This window comes from Homo sapiens, chromosome 4, assembly GCF_000001405.40.
Source record: "Homo sapiens chromosome 4, GRCh38.p14 Primary Assembly".
NCBI classification, from domain to species: domain Eukaryota; kingdom Metazoa; phylum Chordata; class Mammalia; order Primates; family Hominidae; genus Homo; species Homo sapiens.
Window position 1 is genome coordinate 7,928,648 of NC_000004.12, and position 25,841 is coordinate 7,954,488.

The window sequence follows — 25,841 nt, forward strand, 5'->3', positions numbered from 1 at the left end:
AGTGCTGGGATTACAGGCGTGAGCCACCACGCCTGGCCTACTTTACCAGTTTTATTCCTGAATTAAACCTGTTATTACTATCAATAATGTCAATCAGTGCCATTTCATTCACCATATGCCACACACATACAAAGCACTTCATACTCGTCCCACCTGTCTGCCCTCCTGCAATGGCCGCGGTGTTCCCCATCTTACATGAGGGGCACAGAGAAAGACAATGACTTCTCCAAGGTTCTGTAATTCACAGTCAGTGGCAGAGCCAGCATGCCCAGCCAGGTGTGGCCAAGGCCTGTGTTTCAGCCACAGCACCTGGTTGCTGCCCCTAAGGCTCAATGGGCAAGTAACAGATCACTCCGATCGCAGAGGCTTCGGAAATGCCTTCCACCGTGGTACCAAGGATGGTTTGCTCTCAGGAGAGGAGGCAGGGGTGGGAATCAGCACACAGTTCTGCTACATTTCTCATGCAGGGCACAGACTAAGTATTTTGTGCCTTGCTTTGCAGATGAAATGTCTCCTGCCCCCTGTACAACAGCTTTCTTTGTCCTCTCCACATAAAAGTACAACTGAGTTCCTCAGGAGCAGGCAGTGATCACTGCCCTGTGCCACAGCTGACTGATGTCCAAACAGGTGGACACACAGGCTCTTCTTTTATGGCCCAGGCTGCCCCCATCTGCCAAGCATCAAAAACTACACACAGAATTTGCAGAACATTAATGACATGGAGGTGACTGCTTTTCCTCTGTTGAAAATTTACTGCACTGTCCTAAAAAACAAAGAGAATTCAGGAAAAGCTGAACATTTGGGGCTGGCTGGCTGTAATCTTCAGCTGCTGAAAAAGCCTCAGCTGCTCGGTTCCACTGTGGAAATCCAACTCCTCCCTCAAAGTCCAACTCAAATACACCTCCTCTGTGATGCCTGCCCCCCTTCCTCCCTTCCAGAAGCATGTGCTCCCTCTGCACTCCCACGGTATTCTATCTGCACCTCTGGAGCCACACTGTCCCAGCCTACAGTCAGCTCAGTGCACAGCTGCCTCTTCCTGTGTGTACCTGCAGGCCCCACCTGGGCTGGAATGCTGCCTTCTTCACCACACAGAGGCGGCACTCAGGAACTACTGAATGAGGGAGGGAGTGGATGAGGAAGATCAGCCAAGGGCTACAGGGAGTGGCCTGCAACTCACAGCAGGAACAGCCCCTGCCCTGCCAATCCGGAGGTGCCGGCTCTGTTCTCAGCAGGACCGTTATAATAGCTTCAGGCCACAACGGTCAACTTGGTGTCAGGACCTAGACACACCAAAAATCCTAACAAATAAAGAGGCCATGTATGCAGCATGCTGGTTAAAAGCACAGGCTTCGGAGTCAGAGCTTGAATTCTTATTATGTGACCTTGAGCAAGTTACTCAATGCATCAATCTCATTTTGTCACCGGCAAAATGAGGACATTATCTGCCACACAGTGTTGCTGAAAAAGTAAGAGAGGTGACACACAAAGTGCTTGGCACTTACTTACTCTTATGGTTTATTACAAAGAATAGAACACGGGAACAGCCAAATGCAAGAGACGCACAGGGCACACCACGGGGCAGGGAGGTCGGGGCTCCCATGCCCCTGGGAGTGCCACCTCCCCAGCACCAAATGAGTTCGCCAAACCAGAAGCTCTCCAAACCCAATATTTAGAGGGTTTTATGGAGTTTTCATAACATAGACATGATTAAGTCATTGGCCACCGGTGGCTAGCTCAATCTCTCATTGGCCACCGGTGGCTAGCTCAATCTCCAGCCCATCTCGTCTCCCCTCCCCGGAGGTAGGGGTAGGGCTGGTATGTCCAACTCTTTAATCATACCTCGGTCTTTCTGGCAACCAGCCCTAATCCTGAACCTGTCTAGGGGCCCAAAGCCACCTGTCATCTCATTATCATACAAAAGACACTCCTATCACTCCAGAGATTCCAAAAGTCTTAGAAGCTCTTGTGTCAGGAATTGAAACCTAAGACCAAATATTATAACCAATGATGTTCCTATCAGGAAATTACAAGGGTTTTAGAAGCTCTGGGCCAAAAACCAGGATGAATACTAAATATATACACTATTGTACTATGTATCCCACTATCACAATAATTTTTTTTGAGACAGAGTCTACCTCTGTTGCCCAGGCTGGAGTGCAGTGGTGCAATCTCAGCTCACTGCAACCTCCACCTCCCAGGTTCAAGCAATTCTTGTGCCTCACCCTCCTGAGTAGCTGAGACTACAGGTGTGCAACACTACAACCGACTAATTTTTGTATTTTTTAGTAGAGACGAGGTTTCACTGTGTTGGCCAGGCTGGCCTCCAACTCCTGGCCTCAAGTGATCTGCCTGCCTCGGCCTCCCAAAAATCTGGGATAAGTCATGAGCTACCGTGCCTGGCCTCACTATCACAATAATTATACTGAGAGGATAGGGGAGAAAAACGTGGGCAACAGGAGGAGCGGGGAGGGTAAGCCACCTGAGTCCTTGTCTTCCACAGGACATCTCCCTGTCTTTCACACAATCTAGAAGAATGAGCTAAAACATAAACGCAGTAACCTCCAAGGAACAGGGATCAGGGTGGAAAAGGGTAAGGTAGGGAATTGCTGGGTTTTGTTCTAAGCCTTGTTAATTTCTGACTCTTAGAACTGTATGCCTGTACACCTTTGCTAAAAATGAGTATTTAATTTTTAAACAAAATCTGATACTTGACCAACAAGAATAGTATATTAAGTGATATGGTTTTTTGTTTTTGTTTTTCAGAGAGAGGGTCTTGCTCTGTTGCTCAGGCTGGAGTGCTGTGGTGCAATTGTAGCTTACTGCAGCCTCAAATTATTGGGATCAGGTGATCAACCTCCTGAGTAGCTAGAATCACAGGTGTGCACCACCACGCCCAGCATTTTTTTTTTTTTTTGGTAGAGGTGGAGGTCTCGCTATGTTGCCTAGGATGGTCTTGAACTGCTGACCTCAGTGGATCCTACTGCCTCAGCCTCCCTAAGTGCTGGGATTACGGGTGTGAGCCACCACACCAGGACCAAGTGGTGTGTTCTAAAATTTTCTGGAATGCAACCACTTTGAAAATGTATGGAGAGCTATAAATCATCTCCCCATAAACACACATGGATGCATATACACAAAATTTTTGCACAGGATTTTGAGGAGTTCATAAATTTCTGAAAGCCAGGTTAAAAACCTTAGGATTATAGATTCTGGTTTCTTTTTCTTTTTTTTGAGACGGAGTCTCACTTTGTCGCCCAGGCTGGAGTGCAGTGGCGCGATCTTGGCTCACTGCAAGCTCCACCTCCAGGGTCCACGCCATTCTCCTGCCTCAGCCTCCTGAGTAGCTGGGACTACAGGCACCCGCCACCATGCCCGGCTAATTTTTTGTATTTTTTAGTAGAGATGGGGTTTCACCATAACCAGGATGGTCTCGATCTCCTGACCTCGTGATCCACCCTCCTAGGCCTCCCAAAGTCTTGGATTACAGGTGTGAGCCACCACGCCTGGCCCTAGATTCTGGTTTCTTAAAGGAAATGTATTTCAAGTCAGAGCTTGTCATTTATTGCACAGGAAAAAAAACTTCATAAAAAAAAATCAAAAACACCCACATGATAAAACGAGGTCCTGCTTGGTTTTAAACTACTTGGTGACCACCATCAGTTGTTTTCTTGACCACAGGATGCACCTAATTCCTAACTATTAATAAAGGTACAAACATTGTTTATTGGGCTTTTTGCTTCAGCCTTGAAACAATCAGATTCTCTAAAACTCAGGAATGTGAATCGCTGTTGGGTTGATTCAGCTGTTTCCATTCTAGAAATGGACCTGGAATCATGTACTTTTCACCCCATGAAGAGTTCTTTGTGTAAAACTTGAAAAGGCAAGGTCCCAAATTCCCCATATGGGTGTTTCTTCCAATAGAGGAATTACTCTAATGACTTCTTAGCAAAACTTATGTAATCAGGGCAGGCCATCAAAATACTCCAAAACACAAAGTTTAGCTCCATTTCTGAAGGACCTGTCTCCACTGCTATAAACCTCACCAACAGCCTCACATCAAGTCAGAGGAACAGATTTTCCATTTAAGAAGGATCTTCATGGCAGTGGCTCACGCCTGTAATTCCAGCATTTTGGAAGGCCAAGGCCGGCAGATCATAAGGTCAGGAGTTTTTGACCAGCCTCGCCAACACAGTGAAACCCTGTCTCTACAAAAAATACAAAAATTAGCCAGGCTTGGTGGCACGTGCCTGTAGTCCCAGCTACTCAGGAGGCTGAGGCAGGAGAATCCCTTGAACCTGGGAGGTGGAAGTTGTGGTGAGCCGAGATCGCGCCACTGCACTCCAGCCTGGGCAACAGAGTGAGACTCCCTCTCAAAAAAAAAAAAAAAAAAAAAGGGGGGGGATCTTCACGTTCCTGACGATTTGCAAAAAAAAATTGGTATCTGTTAACCAGAGGCATTGAAAACCACCTCCCAGGCTGCTGTAGTAAGTGGATTGGTAACCGCGGTGGGAGATTCTAACCCCCGAGACCTGTGACTACGTCACACGGCATGGCCAAAGGGCTTTGCCACAGGCCTTAGGAAGAGTATCCTGGGCTAACCAGGGAGGTCCAATCTAATCCCATGAGCCTTTAAGAGCACAGAACTGGCCGAGCACGGTGGCTCACGCCTGTAATCACAGCACTTTGGGAGGCCAAGTTGGGCCGATCACGAGGTCAAGAGATCGAGACCATCCTGGCCAACATGGTGAAACCCCATCTCTACTAAAAATACAAAAATTAGTCGGGCACAGTGGCAAGCACCTGTAATCCCAGCTACTCAGGAGGCTGAGGCAGGAGAATCACTTGAACCCCAGAGGCAGACGTTGCAGTGAGCTGTGATCACACCACTGCACTCCAGCCTGGGCAACAGTGCGAGACTCCGTCTCAAAAAAAATATTTAAAAAAAGGGTATAGAACTTTCTCTGAGTGAAGAAGAGAAATGCGCCCAGGGGAATTGGAGGGCCTGACCAGGTCCCTGGCCTAGCTAGTCCTGAGCTGATGGGACCACATGCAAAGACCAGATAGAGGCCTCAGGAGCTGAGGACAGCCCCCAACAGATGGCCAGCAAGGGGACACCTCAGTCCTGCAACCACAAGGAACTATATTTGGCCAAAAGTGCTTGGAAACAATTCTCCAGTGAGGAATGCAGCCCAGCCCACATGGTGATTTTTGCCCAGTGACACCCACGTCAGACTTCTACCCCACAGAACTGTGAGATGATACAATTTCAATTATTTTAAGCCACTAAATTTGTGGAAATGTGTTAAAGCAGCAACAGAAATGAATATAGTGATTTACGTGGAAATCCCTAGCGGAGTGTCTGGCACGGTGTTGACATCTGACAAGCGTTTCCTGATTTCCTTACATCCAAAGGCAGGGCTGGCCACACTCCATCCAAAACAACAGATGATAGACTTGTTCTGACAGAACAGATACAGTGAATTATAAATGGCCCAGAACACCTACAAATTTTAGGTTTCAGGTAAGTGATTGCCTTTCCTTTCACTTAGAAACCTCCCAATGCTTGTCTTACTGATAAGCTCTAAGTACCACACAGAAGACTAAACACCAGACTAACCCGGCTCCAGATGCCCCGAGGGAGCCCAACCCAGCACTCACTCTGCTGCACTGAAATGATGTCCAGGTCGGTTTTTCCCACTGGACCACGAACTCCAGCTCTCCACGTGTGAGTCACGAGTCCCACTTCTGCATCTCTGCTTCTAGAACGGTGCCCCTGCACTTCACAGGAAATCTGTATCCGTGTTTGTCAACACTATATATGACAGTATAACTTAGTATGTGCACAGAAAACATAAATTCTTCGAGGACCAGGGCCGGGTTTATTAGCCTTTGTACTCCCACTACCACTGTCTGGGATATCAGGGGCACTCAGGAGAAGTTGGTGACGAGAAAGAAAAGGCAGAGGAGAGAGAGGAAAGCAGGCCCGACACCGCACACACAGCTTCTGAGGTGGCTGGAGGAGAGGCAGGTGCAGAGAAACTTCCTGGGTGCTGGACTGGGGTTCACTGTGATGCTGCTGCTGGATTTCAAATGTCAAAATGTGATGCTTTGCTGACCTTGACCTCTGACTGCCCTTTAGTTTTCCCAGCCTCAAGACAGGGCACTTAGAAACTGCAATGTCAAGAAATTACGCTTCGCTAAAGCATGGGAATGCTATTTACGTGGACATTCATTACTTCATTTTTTACACGGGAATGTAAATAATTGAAGAGATTGTTAAAGACTAAATCATGCACATTCAATACCTTTGCAAAATATTAATGATAACTGAAACACAAATTTGATGTTCCCCAAAAATGCTAAAATATAAAACAATACTGGCCAATTAAAGATAGAAAAAACCCTAATCAAGCTCCCCAACAGACACATTAAGACTTCTCTGTACATTAAACATTTGGGATTTCAAAGGAAAACTCAGATTCATTCCATTCTTAATGGGTTTTTTTTTAAATCTTAGGTAATACAATATTTTATTTAAAATTTACAAAATTCCATTACATTCATGATTTCATTTGATCCTCAAAACAATCTCCTGAGTTAGGCAGAACAGGTGTTACTAGCAATTAACTCCATTTTACAGGTAAGGGAACTGAAGTTCAGAAAAGTACTTGGACTTAACAAAAGCTTTAGTAGGGCCACATATCGAATTCCAGTCCTCTGCTAAAAAGAACTAAAGTTATCTTTCACATTTTATTCATACTTATATCCTGTCAATATCCAAAACTGTTTTGAGGTAGCCTGAAATAATAGACACCTATACAATAAAAACATTAAAATGAAAAACAGAAAATAAAACAGCAGGTGACATGGGAGAGAGAGGAAGGTAGACAGCAAAGACTTGAGACTTATAATCTAAGAAAACTTCATCTCTGACCTTCCAGTTCCAGGCAGATAATACTAAAGGGAACAAGATGGCTTACAGACTCATAAGCTGACAAAAGAGAAGTCGCATCAGTCCTTACTATGAAACACTCCTAGCAGCCACAGCAAATCTCTAGGATACAATACCAATGGCATCAAAGCAAGGGTATACTTCAGTGATAGAGCGAATTAAGTTCCCTGTTTGGGACCCCGGCCAGGGCTAGAGAAAAGAACTCTGAAATGCAGAGCTCAAAAATATATCCTCTGTGTTCTCCATACCCATGCATCCCCTCCCTTTCATTTAATCCACATAAAAATCAAGCCTGCTGTAAATGAAAAACACCTCGACACAGAAGCAGAATTAACTAGTTAAGTTTTATTAAAACATTAATAAAATCTAGAAAACCATAAAGAAAATCTGGTCGCGTTTTGAAGCCCTCTCCTAAGATCACATTCCCCAAAAGAACAAAGTACATGGAGCATATAACAAAGAACTTTTCCTAAATTAAGAATGCAAATCAAAATACAGGCAAAATCCTACTGAGTGAAGCAAAAATTGTAATTCAGTAGCTCACGACTTGACCAAATGGCTATTTTTAATCCCTATAATCATCCAAATAACTAGGAATAGCAGAGAAAATTGTGTCTCCTTTCTACAGAGACACGTGGCTTTAACAAACTCAGGCACATCCAATTCCCACCTTACCAAACAGATAAATTGGAAAGGAGCTTAATATTTTATTTTTAAACTATTTATTTACCTTTTTATTTTTTACAGAAAGGGTTTCACTCCGTCACCCAGACTGGAGTGCAGTAGCATGATTATAGCTCACTGCAGTCTCTAATCTTGGGCTCAAGTGATCCTCCTACCTCAGTCTCCCAAAGTGCTGGCATTACAGGTGTAAACCACAGCACCTGGCCTTACTGTTTGAAAGAATTAATTACCATATTCCTTAGAACTATAGCTCCTCTATAGGTCATTCAACATGTGATGCAATTTTTTACAAGCGGTAATTTTTTTTTTTTTTTTTGAGATGGAGTCTCACTCTGTCACCCAGGCTGGAGTGCAGTGGTACAATATCGGCTCACTGCAATCTCTGCCTCCCAGGTTCAAGTAATTCTCCTGCCTCAGCTTCCCGAGTAGCTGGGACAACAGGCATGTGCCACCACACCCGGCTAACTTTTTGTATTTTTAGTGGAGATAGGGTTTCACCGTGTTAGCCAGGATGGTCTCCATCTTCTAACCTCGTGATCTGCCTGCCTCGGCCTCCCAAAGTGTTGGGATTACAGGCGTGAGCCACCACACCTGGCCACAAGTGGTAATTTTAAACTAGGCTTCAAACCATTACACAAAGCCAAGTACATCTACTCAAGGCACTCTCAAAATTCCATTTACTCCCATTTTACTCTCCAAAATAAAATGTTAGGTTGAAACATACTTCACATGACACTTAAAAGATCAACAAAATGCTCCTGAAAAAAAGATCTGAGCTCAACAACTCCATTAATGAGAAAAAAACAAACCAATTGGATATAGTGAAGATGTTGCACATAAAACAATTATGAAGAATATGAAAGATATTGCCAAAAAGTTGCTTAAGGTTTCATCATAGATACTTGTCCTTAACTCTGAGATAAAGTATATACACATGTAACTCAACTTGTTTAAAAGGAAAAAAAGGGGAAGAAGAAAAGAAACTTCCACTTTAGAATCCACATTTTCAAAGGCTTCCGTTATTTACACCATTGCTGGTAAGAGAATTTTTCTCTACTATATTTGCTTGAAAGAATTAAAGGTGTAGGGCTGAAAAGATTCTTAGAAATTATGTAGTTTACGATCCTCAAAGGTGAGAAAAATGAAGCCCAGAAGAGAAGGCCTTCCAGGAAAATTCCAGAGCCGGACGTAGACCCAGTACATTGTTTCTGTTTTTATTTTGAGACGAAGTCTTACTCTATCGCCCAGGCTGGAGTGCAGTGGAGTTATTTCAACTCACTGCAACCTCCGCCTCCTGGGTTCAAGCTATTCTCCTGCCTCAGCCTCATGAGTAGCTGCGATTACAGGCACCCACCACCATGCCCGGCTAATTTTTGTATTTTTAGTAGAGACGGGGTTTCACCATGTTGGCCAGGCTGGTCTCGAACTCCTGACCTCAAATGATCCGCCTGCCTCGACCTCCCAAAGTTCTGGGATTACAGGCGTGAGCCACCGCGCCCGGCCGACCTGCTAAGTTTTAATCAAGTACTCTGCACTATGCAACAAACATTAGGAAGTAATAGAAAAAGATTAATCTAAAAACCCTCTGGAGAGTCAAAGAATTGCAGATTTAAAATAGCATGAATACTTGGATTCATGGTATTGAAAAAGGAGCTCGCATTTACCCGCATGCACAAACTGCGCCTGCCCACCTCTATCAGAGCATTTTTCAAGCTGTGCTACAGTTAACCATGTATTACCCAAAGCCAATCTGTCCTGGCAGATCATAAGCTCTTAAAGACCAGGACTTCAGGAGAACAAGCAAAGCTTCAGAGAGAAGGGAGCCACCTCAACAGAGTCCATAGCAATGGGTCGGCATGAGCTGATGACTGGAGGTGCGGCGTAGAGTGGGGGTCTGGGGCAGCGGAGGGCAGAGAAAGCAAAAGGGCCCGCATGACACGCTAGAGGGCTAGGAGCCACAGCTGCGGTAATTAGCTCAGTTTTGTCTTGTATGCCTGTTACTTAAACACCATCTCTTGTTCAGAAAGAACTTCAGGTTGGGTATTTGGACTCCTTGAGCCTTCTGCTGTTTGTCTCCGGGATCTTTAACTCTCCTAAAAGGGGAAAACTGTCCAGTTCGATTTTGCTTCCTGGGACATAACAGGTTTTTCAAAAGTTTGATGAAAGCATTCACTAAGGAGTGATTCCACTTTCTTTGGTGGCTGAGAAATACAGCGTCTGAGGGGCAGCATCAGGTCTTCCCATCAAGCTGAGGTCGGAGTCTCCCCACCCACGGACCTCACCCTCGCTCTCCCCTCATAAATCTGACCTCTAACTGTAACTGCCTTGGCCTCATTCCGTGGGTGTGGATGCTCCTGCTTGAAACGCATTTTCCAGCCCGCCAAATTCTTGGGAGAGTTTCTTCCACTCTCCAGGCGCTGAGAGCTACAAAGTTCAATCTGGCTTTCCAGATTTTTTTTTTCTTCCCATTACTAACGGAAGAAATCAAGAAGCTCCGGGCAGTAGGGCCCTGCTCCCTCCAATCAGAGCCCAGCCCGGGGCCAGAGCAGGAAGCGCGGCGGTGGGACGCGCGGTGACAGCCCCGCGCCCCCCGGGGCCCGCCGGCCAGGGGAGAGGACGGTGCGGCCGCTGCGCGACAGCTCCGGGCCCGCGCCTCTCGCTTCCACCCGCCGGGCAGGTGAGAGGATAAATCACGGGGCGGGGCAGTGCGCCCCCACCAACCGCGCCCCCCGCGCACGGACCCCCATTACACTCGCGTCCCAGGCGGGGTCGACCCAGACGAGCCACGGGGCGGCGCAGAGCCCCACTCGCAGGGCGGCCGGGACCCACGCGCGTGGGTCCACGCAACAACCTATAGGTGACAAAACACTCAGGAAGCCGTCATGCGGGGCCAAGAAAGAGCCCCCATCCAGAGTCACGGACCCCCTCGTCCGAGGGTCCGCGCAGTCCCCTCGGTAAGTCGGACGAAGCAGTCTCGCTACGGGGGAGGGCGGCGGAGCCTCCCACTCTTGGTGACCCGGACCCCGCCCCACGAGTGGGTCTTCGCAGGGCCCCCTCTGACGCACACGGGGACCAGCCACGCCGCGGGGGCACCGGGCAGGAGCCAGCGCCCGGGTCCACGCAGTCCCCTCCGGGCAGACGCGGGGAGCTGGGGAGCAGTGGGGACCGGCCCCCACCCGCAGGACGACCGGGACCCCCGCGCGGGCCCACGCGGCGTCGCAGCAGGCGCGGAGCCCCCGGTACCACCCGAGGCCGAGACAAAGCCCAGGCGCACGGACCCCGGACCCTGCGGAGCCCCGCTCGGAGCTTCCACGCCCGGGGCAGAGACCCCCGCCGGGTCCGGAGACCCTGCCGCCAGTCGCGCCGTCTCACCTCAGGCCGCCACCTCGCAGCGCTCGCTCCTCGCCGCGGCGCCTGGGCCGACTGGAGCGCAGCTGAACAGCCGACAGAGCCGCAGCCGCCTTAACAATGGAGCCCCGGGGCGGGGCCGCCGCCGCCGCCTCAGCCCGTGTACCCCGCTCGAGATCCGGCTCGGCTCGCGGAGCTGCAGCCGGCGTGGGGCTGCGGCCGGGACAGACACCACGCAGGCGCACACGGCCCCGCCCGCCGCCCGCCGTCCCGCCCCCAGCGGAGCCGGGCGCCCAGGGCCCGCCCCCCGGCCAATGGGAAGCGAGCTGCGCGGAGTGGGCGGGGCCTGAGGGAACAAAGGGAGGTTGGGCGGGGCGGTGCTGGGACTGGGCTTGCGGGGTCCCGCGGGAGGACCCGCCTCAAAGAGCCGGCCCGATCATCGCCTCCTAGAATACCCAGCTCAACGTCTACCTGGAGTCGGCTCTACAGGACGCGCTCATCTCAAACCCAGAGCTCAGGCTTTTAGGGCAGAGAGCGAGAGAAAGGCTTGCTTTACAGAAAGGGAAACTGAGGTCCAAGGAATAGGATTGCCTGCCGCTCGAAGAAACGTAATCCCATTCACTCGTTCATCTTGTAGTCATTCAGCAAACATTTGGAAGCACGTATGGCGGGCGTTAGGAGTGAAGTAGGGCCGGGCACGGTGGCTCACACCTGTAATCCCAGCACTTTGGGAGGCCGAGGCAGGTGGATCACTTGAGGTCAGGAGTTCGAAACCAGCCTGGCCAACAAGATGAAACCCCGTCTCTACTAAAAATACAAAAACTTTGCCGATTGTGGTGGCGCGTACCTGTAGTCCCAGCTACTGGGGAGGCTGAGGCAGGAGAATCGCTTGAACCCAGGAGGTGGAGGTTGCAGTGAGCCGAGATCGTGCCACTGCGTGCACTCCAGCCTGGGCGACAGAGTGAGACTCTGTCTCCAAAAAAAAAATTTTTTTTTAAAGATGTGAAGTAGAAGCGAACTTAGGCCCTCCCTGAAGGAGCTCGGCCAAGGAGTACCTGAGATGTCTCTGCATCTCTTTAAGGCCTGATAAAGGAACCAGGAGCAAGCAAGCACTAATCACTTCGCTTTCCTGCCTCAGAGCTTTCACGTGTTTGCTGTTCCCCACCTGAAATGCCAAGTACCAATGTATTTATTTATTTCTAGAAATGGGGTCTCCCTATGTTGCCCAGGCTGGTCTCAAACTCCTGGCCTCAAGCTATCGTCTCATCTCAGCCTCTCAAAGTGTTGGGATTACAGGCATGAACTACTGTCCCCAACCCTGATCATCTTTAAAACCTCTTTCCTCATCTTATTTGAGCTTCCTGCATCATGTGACCCCCACACACTTGGTTTTTCTGTACCTCCATAGCTGCTCCTCTGTGGGTCCCAGGGACCCACCCCCTTCTCTGCCCAACTTGTACATGTCTGGGCTCAGGCCAAATGCCCTTCCATTCACAGTGGGCACTGCTACAGGAAATCTCATGCCCTTCTGGGCTTCACAAACCATCCACATGCTCTGCTGCCTGCCAGAGACATCCATCCAAGTCAGATGCCCAGCCCTGACCTCTCCCAAAGGCCTAGCTGGACACCAGGGAGGCATCTCAAATTTTCTGCGGGCCAAAACAGAGTGCTTTATCAGTGCCCCAACCTGCTCATCCACATTCTTGTGATTCTCAGTAAACAGCCCCTCCATCCACCTAGCTGCTCAGGTGAAAATCTCAAATCCTCCTCCAGTCCTTCCTCCCCAAACCTCTCACGCAGCCCTCTGCCTTCCTAGGACGCTGAGCACCCCTCACTCCCAGCGCCAGCTGGGGTGCTGTCTGAGTGGCTGCCTCCCACTTGGCATGAAGTGTGACCTCTTGCCCAGTGCAGTGACTCACGCCTGTAATCCCAGCACTTTGGGAGGCCAAGGGGGGCAGATCACTTGAGGCCAGGAGTCTGGGACCAGCCTGGCCAATATGGTGAAACTAAAATACAACAATTAGCCAGGCATGGTAACACGTGCCTATAATCCCAGCTACCCAGGAGGCTGAGGCAGGAAAATTGCTTGAACCTAGGAGGCGGAGGTTGCAGTGAGCCAAAGTCACGCCGCTGCACTCCAGCCTGGGCAACAGAGCGAGACTCTATCACAAGTTAAAAAAAAAAAAAGAAGTGTGACCTCTCTAAGGCAAGGCAGTGTCCCACTCTGATTCACTTCCATGTGCAAAACAGGACCTGCGCCCTGAAGGCACTCACTCAGGGATGCTGCTGGGATGGGTGGATGCACAGGTGAGGTCTTGATGATGGCTGGGGCTGACCCTATCCCCATCTCCCTTCCCACACACACCTGCACACTCACTCACTTGCACACTCGCACCCACCACTGAAAGCCTGGCCCCTAATCTGATTTGCCTAACAAGGTCCCCCGATGAACATCACATGCTTCCCTACCTCTCCCCAGCTAGGGCCCCACTGTGTTCTGGGATGTACTCAGGGATCAGGAGAACACAACCTCAGGGAGTGAAAGGACATTCCAGGGTGCAGGCCTCTGCATCCCCCTCCATGCCCTCACCGCTGCCTAACACACCCTCACCCCTGTACCTGGCCAGCTCCTACCAACCCTTAAAGTCTCACCAAGTTCAGTGGTGGCAGCCACACCCTAAAGTGACTAACCCCCCCAGTGACCGATGACCTATGCCCTTGCATAATCTTCCTGACCTTGGGTATGAGCAGAACCTGTGACTGGCTTCTAACCCACAGAGCCTCTGGCAAAAGCAATGGATGTCACTGTCACAGTGCATCACCTTTGCACACTAGAGAGAGAGGTTCCACCTGCAGGCCCTGCAGGAGGGAGATGCCATGCTGAGAAAGGACCTTTGGAGGGGCCCCGTAAGCAAGGAAGCAAAAAGCTGGGCCCTTGCCAAGCGGGTCCAAGGAAATGAATTCTGCCAATAACCTCAGTGGACCTGGAAATGGATTCTGCCCTGGTTGAGCCTCAGATGAGGATGTAGCCCAGCTCCTTAGCGTGAGACCCCAAGCAGAGGACCTGCTAAAATGTGCTCAACTCCTCGCTTGCCAAAACTGGGTTAAATGTGTGTGTTGTTTTAAGCTTCTAAGTTTTTAGTTATTGCCTATGAAAGTGTTAAAATATAAGACAATAACGTAGGTCCCCTCCCCATCACACACTTTCTTCTTTCTGGCATTCATCACAACTATACTTATTGATTTAAAATCTGCCTCTTGGCTGGGCATGGTGGCTCAGGAGTTCCAGACCAGCCTGGCCAACATGTTGAAACCCCATCTCTACTAAAAATACAAAAATTAGCTAGGCATGGTGGTGCATGCCTGTAATCCCAGCTACTCGAGAGGCCGAGGCAGGAGAATTACTTGAACCTAGGAGGCAGAGGTTGCAGTGAGCCAAGATTGCACCATTGCACTCCAGCCTGAGTAACAAGAACAAAACTTTGTCTCCAAAAAAAAAAAAAAATTGTCTCTTGCATGAAGGCCCCATGAGAAGAAAAATGAAAACTCTTACTCATAACAGTGCCCCAAATGCCCAGCACAGTGAAGTTCTAGGGCAGTTGGTCGATGGTGGATGCTGCTGGTTGGAGGGCCCAACTGGCCCTGCCAGCTGCCTTCTCCCTGGTCACGTTCCATTATAGAGAACAGAATAGTTTCTTGCCTTTCCAGAGTTCCTCTTAGTGGGGATTGGCCAAGCAACATTGTCCTGCCCAGGGAGATATAAGTGGAAGTTGGCTGACAGGTTTCTAGCCGTGGTGTGCTGGGGCTGTTTGAACCAGAACATGAGAGCTGACCGTCCATTGTTCGGGAATTCTGCGAGTTGGTGTTCAACACATTCAGTACTTAAAAATATTAAATAATATAAACTTGCAAATTAAAAAATGCATTAGACCGGGTGCAGTGGCCCACGTATGTAATCCCAACACATTGGAAGGCTGAGGCAGGAAGATCACTTGAGCCCAGGAGTTCAAGACCAGCCTAGGCAAAAAAGGAAGACGCTGTCTCTACAAAAAATTTTAAAATTAGCTAGGCGTGGTGGTGTGTGCGTGCAATCCTAGCCACTCAGGAGGCTGAGGTGGGAGGATCGCTTGAGCCATCTGTTCAAGGCTCCAATGAGCTATGATAGTGCCACTGCACTCCAACCTGGGTGACAGAGCCAGACCCTGTCTCAGAAATAAATAAACATATTTTATATATTAATAAATATATAATAAATATATATTAATATATACATTTATGTATATAATTATATATTTATACATAAATATGTATTTTTATTTATTTATTTATTTATTTATTTATTTCAAGATGAAGTTTCACTCTTGTTGCCCAGGCTGGAGTGCAATGACGTGATCTGGGCTCACCACAACCTCCACCTCCCAGGTTCAAGTGATTTTCCTGCCTCAGTCTCTTCAGTAGCTGGGATTACAGGCTTGCACCACCACACCTGGCTAATTTTGTATTTTTAGTAGAGATGGGGTTTCTCCATGTTGGTCAGGCTGGTCTCAAGCGCCCGACCTCAGGTGATCTGCCCACCTCGGCCTCCCAAAGTGCTGGGATTACAGGTGTAAGCCACTGTGCCCAGCCTATGTTAGATATTTATATAATTATATATATTAATTTTATAAAATTATATATTAATTTTATATAATTAAATGTAAATATAAATATAAAACAAAGATAATAAATCATCAAAATGCATTATTTCCTGATTGTTTTACTCTTACTATGTTCTTAAAGATTTGCATCTCCCGCGTCAGTAGGTGGAAATCCTAAATCATGGTGTGCTGCTGACTTCTCTCTCCAACGCCGTAGTCAGCAATGTCATGGTGGTAGCTTGAAATCAGACATAGTAGGGGAACTTATAAAGAAATTGGCAACTGTTAAAAATCAGGACTTTCCCTCTCCCTCCTCTCCCCCAAAATACCAGCACACCCCTGATTTTGAGGGAAGTTTTTGCTCTCTTGGAAAAGGAAAAGACACAGCAGACGCTGTCTTTTTCTCAGCAGCAGGGATTATGATCATGAACATGGGTGTGATATCTGCAGCTATAGTGGCCATTGTGCAGCCATCTCCTACACTACAGGCAAGAGAATCAGAGAGATACTGAACCTTGCACTATTGACCCAGTGAAACAACACCAGCAATCACCTACCCCCAGATTCTCTGTTAGGTAGAAAAAACAAATCCCTTTTTATCGAAGCCTCTGGTCATAAATTCTACACTTACAGGATTCTGTAACTGAAGCATGTAGAATTAATATTTGTTGAATTAGTAAATGAATAAACTCGGCCTGATTCTTGAACACATACTTGGAAACTTCTCACAACATTCCTGCTGAGACATCCAGGCCTATGTCTACTAGCAAGAAGCTAACCACCCAATGAACCAGTCCAGGCACAGTATGACAGCTCTGATTAGCAGGAAATTTTTCCGCTTATGAAACTGACATTTTCTTTTTCTGTCTTTTTTTTTTTTTTTTTTGAGACAAGGTCTCACTGTGTTGCTCAGGCTGGAGTGCAGTGGTATGAATATGGATCGCTGCAGCCTTGATCTCCCAGGCTCAAGCAATATTCCTACCTTAGCCTCCTGAGTAGCTGGGACTACAGGTGCCTGCCACCAAGCCCGGTTAATTTTTTTTTGTTTTTATTTTTTTGTAGAGATAGGGTCTTGCCATGTTGCCCAGGCTGGCCTCAAACTCCTGAGCTCAAGCAATCCTCCTGCCTCAGCCTCCCAAAGTGTTGGGATTATAGGTGTGAGCTACCATGCCCAGCTGAAACTGAAATTTTCTGATCTCTTGGGACCTCAGAAAATAAGTCAAACCCTTCTTTTCCACCGTAGCCCTTCTGATGTAAAGAGAGTTTTTGTTCTCTGGAAAAACAAATCAGGGTTTATTGATCCAAGAGTTGGACCAACCCAGTTCATGGAAACTCCTGACCTAGTTTGATACTATGAAGGACTAGTTGCTGGAATGAGTGACCAACTGGAGACTTCTTCCCAGGCTTTTCCATTAACACATCTGTTGAGGAAAAAAAATAATCACAAACTATTTATATGCCAAAGAAAGCTTCATTTCCATGACACCTTTGTTGCAGTCCTTTTTGAGGGAGCAAAGCTCGCCTTTGGCACCTGGGCACCTGGTGGAGATTCTGGGCCCAGTTTAGGATGTGCTGTCAGTTTGCCAGTGCAATCAGAGCTCGCAAGGCTGCTGCATGCATTATCGATAACTAATCAATAACCACAGTTATCAATAATTGCGTTAGTATCGATAATGCATGCAGCAGCCTTGCGAACTTTTATTGCCCCACCCCACCTAAAGGCTTAAAACAACTCACATTTATTATCTCATAGTTTCTGTGGATCAGAAGCTTAACCGGGTGCCTGTGGCTTAAGATTTCTCCCAAGGCTGCAATCAATCCATGAGCTGGGGATGCGGTCCCATGAAAAGTCTGGACTCAGAGGAATGTTTCCAAGCTCATTCGCGTGGCTGTACGCAGGCCATATTTTCTCACCAGCTGCTGGCCTTCTTCCATTGCTGGATTACTCCAATCTCGCATTGCTAGGAAGAAATAACTGATGCGGGGTCACTTCCAAGAGAAGAGGTTTAATTGGCTCCTAGCTCTGCAGTCTGTACAGGAAGCAAAGCAGCATCTGCTTTTGGGGAGAGCTTAGGCGGCTTCCAATTATGGTGGTAGGTAAAGGGGGAGCAGTCACATCACAGGATGAAAGCAGGAGCAGAAGGATGAGGGGAGAGGCACTGCACCCTTTTAAATGACCGGATTTCACGAGAACTCACTCCATATCACGACAGTACCCAGGGAGTTAGTGCTAAACCATTCATGAGAAATCCACTCCCCCCATAAGCCAATCACCTTCACCAGAACTCCACATCCAACACTAGGGATTGTATTTCAATATGAGATAAGAGTGGGAACACACATCCAAACTCTATCAGTTCCTTACTGCATGAACCCTACATAGGGTAACACAAGAAGGCAGCCCACCTCCCCTCAGCACAAGCAGGTGGGGCAGCAAGAGAAAGCGCCTGAGATGGAAACCATTGTCTTCTTATAACCCAGTACTGAAAGTGACATTCCATCACTTTTGCTGTCTTCTGTTCCTTAGAAGTAAGTCAGTAGGTCCAGCCCACACTCAAGGGAAGAAGACCACGCAAGGGCAAAAATACCGGGGAGTGGGGATCATCGCAGGGGCTGCCTGCCACAGCTGCTGAAAACCAGTGTGTAAAAAAAAAATCTTGGCTTGACATGGTGGCTCACGCCTGTAATCCCAGCACTTTGGGAGGCCAAGGCGAGCAGATCGTTTGAGCTCAGGAGTTCAAGACCACCCTTGGCAACACGGTGAAATCCCATCTCTACAAAAAATTACAAAAATCAGCCAGGCACTGTGGCAAGTGCCTGTGGTCCCAGCTACGCGAAAGGCTGAGATGGGAGGATGGCTTGAGCCCCAGGAGGCAGAGGTTGCAGTGAGCTGACACTGCGTGAATGCGTTCCAGCCTGGGCTACAGAGCCAGACCCTGTCTCAAAAAGTAAAAATGAAAATAAAAAATAAAAAATAAAAAAAATCAGCCAGGCTGGATGGCTCATGCCTGCAATTCCAGCATTTTAGGAGGCTGAGGCAGGTGGATCACGAGGTCAGGAGTTCGAGACCAGCCTGACCAACATGATGAAACCCCGTCTCTACTAAAAATACAAAAATTACCCTGGTGTCATGGCATATGCCTGTAATCCCAGCTACTCAGAAGGCTGAGGCAGGAGAATCGCTTGAAGCTGGGAGACAGAGGTTGCAGTGAGCTGAGATCACGCCACTGCACTCCCAGTCTGGGCAACAGAGTGAGACTCCATGTCAAAAAAAAAAAAAAAATCTTAAAAGCAGCCATAGGAAACAAACATCACATCATTCTAGGTGATAACCAAAGGAAATACAAGGGATTTCTCAGTAGAAATAATGGAAGCCGGCTGGGCACAGTGGCTCATACCTGTAATCCTAACACTTTGGGAGGCCAGGGCAGGCAGATCACCAGAGGTCAGGAGTTCAAGACCAGCCTGGCCAACATGGCGAAACCCCCTCTCTACTAAAAATACAAAAATTAGCCGGGCGTGGTGGTGCATGCCTGTAATCCCAGCTATTCGGGAGGCTGAGGCACAAGAATCGCTTGAACCCGGGAGGCAGAGGTTGCAGTGAGCCAAGATCGTGCCATTGCATTCCAGCCTGGGTGACAGAGCAAGACTCCATCTGAAAAAAAAAAAAAAAAAAGAAAGAAAGAAAAGAAATAATGGAAGCCAAAGGTAATGGAATAACAACAGTCTTGTCATGTTGAAATAGAAAGAAAAAACCCTTGTCAATCCATCTGCAAAATCTACAATCTCTACTATCACTCACACACACTGTCTTCAGTCCCCTTTGTGCACATGACGTAATATGAAAAGAGCCACTTCCTGGCTGGCCCCAAGCAGCTCACAAATTTTGCACTACTTCGTGGCAAACTCTGGTCTATCAGGTTATTATGGTGGTGTGGTGTCTTGGCATAAGTTTGAGAGTAAAAACAATCGTGTTTTGGAACCTAGCTGTAACACCTCTATGACCTTGAGCGTCTCTTTGCTTCTCTGAGCCTCAGCAGCTACATCAGTAAAATATGTATAATACCTGCCATGCCGGAGTTTTCTTAGAATTAAATGACATTGTATAGGTAAATTGCCTATCACATAGTAGTCACCTCATAGACGTAAGTTTTTGGTTTTGGTTTTTTGGGGTTTTTTTTGAGACGGAATCTCGCTGTGTCACTCAGGTTGGGGTGCAGTGGCGATAAGGGCTCACTGCAAGCTCCCCCTCCCAGATTCAAGTGATTCCCATTTCCCTTGCTCCAGCCTCCCAAGTAGCTGGGACTACAGGCACCTGCCACCATGCCTGGCTAACTGTTGTATTTTTAGTAGAGACAGGGGTTTCACCATGTTGGCCAGGCTAGTCTTGAACTTCCGACCTCAAGTGATCTCCCTGCCTCGGCCTCCCAAAGTGCTGGGATTACAGGCATGAGCCACCACACCCAGCCAAGCTTTTGCTTTTTTCTGGCAAGCAAACTCCTACCCATTCTTCAAGACCCAGTTCAAATGTCACCTCTTCCCCAAAGCTGTCCCAGCTCCTCAGGAGGGCATCTCTGCCTCTCCACCATCTCACAGCTGCCCTATCTTATCATACTTAACACCCCATACGATCACAGTCTGTTTCTAGATCTGTCTCTCCCATGCAACAGGGAACTCATCCAGGGCAGAGACTCATCCTTATCTTCCTGGCTGGCACCCACGAGGTGCCTGGCTCCATAGTACACTCCATGAATGTTTCTCATTTGATTGGAAACAGTTGGGGGTTAAAATGATTGTATGCTGAGTATTTCTATGCTGCAAACTCACCAGCCTCCCAGCCATCCTTTCCAACTCCCTTCCCTGTTATCATGGAAGGAGGGACTTCCCCTCCCCAGGTTTGACTTGGTTGTCACTTTCACTGACCACCGTGTGTTAAACAGCACCTCTCGTCACTCTCTCCCTTATCCTGAATGTTTTTCCATAGCTTGCATCCTGCACAGGGATCGTCTGTCTGCTCCCCACACCCTGGATAGAAGCTCCAGGGTTTTATCTGTCTTATTCGCTGTCATATCTGAAGATTCTGGAGGAGTGCCTGGCACCTGGCAGGCACTCAGCAGTTCTGTGTTGAATTAATCAATCAATCTTATGCGGCTGTCTAGAGGTCTAAGTCTTCACAATAGTGCCTGGCGGGACTATGCCCTCAGGCTCTAAGCACTTGCTGGTTTTTCTTCCTCTTCTTCCTCCTGCCTTCCCTCTCTCCATCCTTCCTCTTCCTCTTTCCCCTTGGTACTTGTGTGCTCAGGTCTCTCTCATTACAAGATTCTACATCAGCCACGCATCACCCATATGAACAGGCCCTCCGCCTCCCCTCTGCCCCCGTCAGCTGCCCCAGCCTCTCCACTCACCCCGATGCAGGCATGTATGCCCTGGTGGGCTCTTCTGTAGCCCCGGATCCTCCATCTCTTCTGCCTGGGTTCTGCCACTCCACTTGACAAAACTCTCCTTGCCAAGGTCACTGAAACTCTTTAGGACGAAATCCAAAGGACACACTTTGGTCCTAGCTGGCTTGATCTCACCTCACCATTGCTCTCTGGGTCCCTCCTTTTCACACCTGCGACTCCCTTGCCCTCTGTTGTGCCATATGCCCTCTTGAGCTTCCTCCTCAGGCCTCTGCCCATCCTCCACGAAGCTCAGAAAGGCCCTGCATTCCTCTAAGCTGCTCCAGGCCCTCAGCTCTGCTTGCTGAGCTCTGTCTCCCTGAGCAATCTCACACAGGTGATGACACTGGCCATCCCTCCCAGGCAGCTGTGCCCACCCACCCCTGTCTATTGGGCCTCCAGCCTGTGGCTCAGTCTCTCTTGGGGACCTCCACCTGGGCAGACATGGGCGGGTACATCAAACACAACACCCAGCAGACAGAACACATCTCCTTCCGCCCACCCCAGGCTACTCTTCCTGGGTTCCGGCTCTCTAAACAGCCCCACCATCCATCCCCTTGCTCACACCAGAAGGCAGGGCCCAGTGAATATTTGTTATTTGATTGGAAACAATATTCAGGGGTGCAGAGGGAGGCTGCACCCCTCCCGCTCCCTGTCCCCGTTCCACATCACTGTGAGGCCGGGTGAATCTGTCCTCTGGATCCACGTCCTCCTCCCCAGCCCTCGGCCCCCTCCCTGTCCCCATTCCACATCACTGTGAGGCCGGGTGAATCTGTCCTCTGGATCCATGTCCTCCTCCCCAGCCCTCGGCCCCCTCCCTGTCCCCGTTCCACATCACTGTGAGGCCGGGTGAATCTGTCCTCTGGATCTGCGTCCTCCTCCCCAGCCCTTGGCACTTCTCTAGGCCTTTGCTTCTCTCCACAGAGGTATGACAGAAGCATCCCTCAGTCTCCCCGTCTCCAGACCTGGCCCCTCCAACCCATCCTCCTCAGGACAGCCCAGAGCAAAGGAAGAGGGATGCTAGTCATCCTTCAAGAACAAATCTCAAAAGTCCTTTCCTTGAGGAAAGCACCTGTCTAGGTCTGGGAAGCTGCCTTGAAGGACGCCTTTGATGGGGAAGCCTCTCCGATTACAGGAGGATGGGCTGGGGCAGAGAAGCAGATAGACAGCGGAGCTACTCTGGAGGGACATGCCGGCCGCCAGGGATGGGGAGCAACACAGGGAGCAGAGGACAAGGGGAAGGGTGGGGAGCAGGGAGGAAGAGGAAGGGGCTTGCGGGACAGTTCCCTGGTGGGAATTGCCTGGGGCATTTTGAGAACAAGGATATCTAAAGATCAGTCTTGTGCTCTCCCAGCTGTGTGGTAACCTCCTCCTCTAGGCCGTCACAGGCCTGACTTTCGTGAGCCATACTGGGAGGGTTCTAGTACATAAAAGGGGGGTGATATGGTTTGGCTCTGTGTCCCCACTCAAATCTCATGTTGTAGCTCCCATCATTCTCATGTGTTGTCGGAGGGACCCAGTGGGAGGTAACTGAATCATGGGGGCAGGTCTTTCCCATGCTATTCTCATGATTGATAGTTAATAAGTCTCACGAGATCTGATGGTTTTAAAAACAGGAGTTTCCCTGCACAAGTTCTCTTCTCTTGTCTGCTGCCATGTGAGATGTGCCTTTCACTTTCCTTCATGATTGTGAGGTCTCCCCAGCCATGTGGAACTGTAAGTCCAATAAACTTCTTTCTTTTGTAAATTGTCCGGTCTTGGGAACGTCTTTATCAGCAGCATGAAAACGTACTAATACAGGGGGCCTGGTTCATGTCTGGGTCAGCTTGGAGCTGGGAGAGGGGCTGGCTGCGGGAAATAACACCTCAGTGTTCTCACCAAATCCTTCAGAATTTCACACACTATTACCCAATAAGTGGATTAAACCAGTTCAATCAAAGCCATCAAACCCTATTTCACTACTGGCTTTTCTGAGGTCGTAGGGTTGGTACATACATGGCATTCTGACTAGCCAGCCTAACAGTGACAAAATGCAGGTGTGGAACTCCTGCCCCCAAAACCCTAATGATATTTCCTTCCAGAACAGCTCACAGCTCACACCAATATCTTGTTTAAAAAAATTTGGGTCCTCTGCACAAGGACTCATGCATTTAAGTTCTCACATGGGGTCTGAACCAGCTTAGAAAACCTGGGAGGTGGCATTAGGGCTCCTTCCTGGGCTTGGGGCTGGAGTAGTCTCTCTCTGCTTCCTTTGGCCTTAGGTTTTCCTCCTGCAGAGTCGGGACATGGGACTGGATGATTTCTAAGGCCTCCTATACCACAGGCACTGCTCCCAGTCTGGTCTGTGATGAATATGATTATTTTAATTAAGCTCTCCATCCATCTATCCTTCCATTCATCCATCCATCCATCCATCCATCCATCCATCCATCCATCCATTCATTCAATGTTTATCTTTTGGCAGTGATAGGTGAGCTGTGCATCTTGACACAAGACAATGAGGCCAGGCACGGTGGCTCATGCCTGTAATCCCAGCCCTTTGGGATGCCACCTGAGGATCACCTGAGGATCACCTGAGGTCAGGAGTTCGAGACCAGCCTGTCCAACATGGGAAAACCCTGTCTCTAGTAAAAATACAAAAATTAGTTGGGCATGCCCCTGTAATTCCAGCTACCCAGGAGGCTGAGGCAGAGAATTGCTTGAACCTGGGAGGTGGAGGTTGCGACGAGCCGAGACCGCCCCACTACACACTCCACCAGCCTGAGTGACAGAGTGAGAATCCATCTCAAAAAAAAAAAAAAGAAAGAAAATGATTCATACAGCACCTGTGCTAGCAACTAGCTTCCTTTAGAGCTCTTTACTGAAAAAAAATGGCTGCACAATGAGCATCATCCAGGGCTGCAGAATGTGGCCCCGTGTGAGGAAGATGGAGAGGAGGAGGGTCCCAGGAACTGGAGAATGTGTGGGCTTAGAGCTCCATGATCCTGGGCTTAAATCCCATGCCGCCATTCACCAACTCTACAACTGCAGACGTTGCCTTGTGTCTCTGAGCCTCCGTTTGCTCGTATGTAAAATGGAATGCGTGTGCTGGTTCTGTTACGTGATGAGTCACAAAAACTCCCAGTACTGGGCCTGACATGTGGCCCATTCTCAAACACGGTGACTATAGAGCTTAAAAACATGGCTGTTGGCATCAAAGACTCTTTGCTTTGAATCCCAGATCTGCCACGTACTAGCTGCATGATCTCAGGCTGTTTACTTAGCTTTGCTGAGCCTCAGTCTCCTCATCTGTAAAGTAGAGATAATAATACCTGTCTTACAAAGCTATTCTGGGAATTGAACTGTACAATGCTGTAAAATACCTAGCCTGGTTTCTGGCACAGAGCAAGCACTGAATTAATGGTAGTTGCTGATACATAAAGATGAGGAGGAGGAGGAGAAAGAAGAGGAGGGTGAATACTTCTGATAAATGAAATATGGGTAGGCCTTGATTGAAAGTGGTAAGGTGGCTGGGTGTGGCGGCTCATGCCTGTAATCCTAGCACTTTGAGAGGCCGAGGCGGGCGGATCACCTGAGGTCAGGAGTTCGAGACCAACCTGGCCAACATGGTAAAATCACGTCTCTACTAAAAATACAAAAATTAGCCAGGTGTGGTGGTAGGCGCCTGTAATCCCAGCTACTCGGGAGGCTGAGGCAGGAGAATCACTTGAACCCAGGAAGTGGAGGTTGCAGTCAGCTGAGATTGTGCCACTGCACTCCAACCTGGGTGACAGAGCAAGAGTCTGTCTCAAAAAAAAAAAAAAAGGAAAAATTAAAAAAGAAAATGGTAAGGCTTACTTAGCTTTTAGATGCCTCATCTCAAGAGAATTTTTTTTTTTTTTTTTTTTGCCTTCTGCAAAACAATTTCCTTAAGGCAACATTTCCACTTCTGGTTCTCTTCAGATTCTAATTCTCTGTACATATTGTTTTCCTTTAATTATATTTTATGTGAAACTCCCATTGATTTCAATGGGACTCCTTTAAGTACTGGCAAAAAACATATCCTGCTTAAATGCTATCTAGAACAATGAAAGACAATGTCTCTGTTTTTCTAATTTCAGCAATATGTGTATGTTGAGTTTATTTATATAATTCCACTTCCCATATTTTTTTGCAGAGTTTCATGATTTCCCAAAAATGTGTAGATAATATAGGCACTTCCTCTAGAGACTTCTGTGAAAAACATTTTACTATACACCAATCTTGCCTATGGTTGTTAAAGTAAAACTCTTCGATAAAACATCAACAAAGAGAATTCAACAGGACATCAAAAAAAAATCTAATAAGATACTCGATTATTGTATCTATTATTATATTCTATAATAATAATATTTTTTTGAGATGGGGTTTCACTTTTGTTGCCCAGGATGGAGTGCAATGGTGCAATCTCAGCTCACTGCACCCTCCCCCTCCCAGGTTCAAGCGATTCTCCTGCCTCAGCCTCCCAAGTAGCTGGGATTATAGGCATGCGCCACCACGCTTGGCTAATTTTGTATTTTTAGTAGAGACGGGATTTCTCCATGTTGGTCAGGCTGGTCTTGAACTCCTGACCTCAGATGATGCGCCCATCTCAGCCTTCCAAAGTCCTGGGATTACAGGTGTGAGCCACCACACCCAGCCTATAATGATTAAAAAAAACCAATAAACTCTGACCAGGTAGTTTATACCAGGAATGCAAAGATGGCTCAATATTAGTAAATTCAGGCTGGGCACAGTGGCTCACACCTGTAATGCCAGTGCTTT

At 48.2% G+C, this 25,841-nt stretch overlaps 1 protein-coding gene and 1 long non-coding RNA gene across 5 annotated transcripts in view, besides 3 other annotated features; one reads left to right on the top strand and one right to left on the bottom strand.

Annotated features, from left to right (window-relative positions):
• AFAP1 (actin filament associated protein 1) overlaps nucleotides 1-11,214 on the bottom strand; it is a 181,149-nt gene extending 169,935 nt beyond the window's left edge. For 3 of the 4 annotated variants that reach the window (NM_001371091.1, NM_198595.3, NM_001134647.2), the window contains exon 1: nucleotides 11,009-11,214. Coding sequence is in view for 1 of the 4 variants with exons in the window: in XM_006713909.4 (XP_006713972.1) it covers nucleotides 9,945-10,005 (61 nt within the window). In the remaining 3 variants the exon portion in view is untranslated. Of the gene's footprint in view, nucleotides 1-9,944; nucleotides 10,143-11,008 lie in introns of those variants that run through there. The other variant, XM_006713909.4, reaches the window with a different exon arrangement.
• Nucleotides 10,175-10,679: an enhancer, noted in NCBI's record as "H3K27ac hESC enhancer chr4:7940549-7941053 (GRCh37/hg19 assembly coordinates)". NCBI's record gives its function as "activates a minimal SCP1, AML or CMV promoter by ChIP-STARR-seq in primed H9 embryonic stem cells {active_cell/tissue: H9 hESC(primed)}" and the evidence as "EXISTENCE:reporter gene assay evidence [ECO:0000049][PMID:30033119]".
• On the top strand, nucleotides 10,354-11,649 carry LOC389199 (uncharacterized). The gene has a single exon (NR_172651.1). It is a non-coding gene; the product is annotated as an uncharacterized LOC389199 (long non-coding RNA).
• Nucleotides 10,985-11,414: a silencer, noted in NCBI's record as "silent region_15254". NCBI's record gives its function as "represses an Ori minimal core promoter by ATAC-STARR-seq in GM12878 lymphoblastoid cells {active_cell/tissue: GM12878}" and the evidence as "EXISTENCE:reporter gene assay evidence [ECO:0000049][PMID:35858748]".
• Nucleotides 21,025-21,524: an enhancer, noted in NCBI's record as "H3K4me1 hESC enhancer chr4:7951399-7951898 (GRCh37/hg19 assembly coordinates)". NCBI's record gives its function as "activates a minimal SCP1, AML or CMV promoter by ChIP-STARR-seq in naive H9 embryonic stem cells {active_cell/tissue: H9 hESC(naive)}" and the evidence as "EXISTENCE:reporter gene assay evidence [ECO:0000049][PMID:30033119]".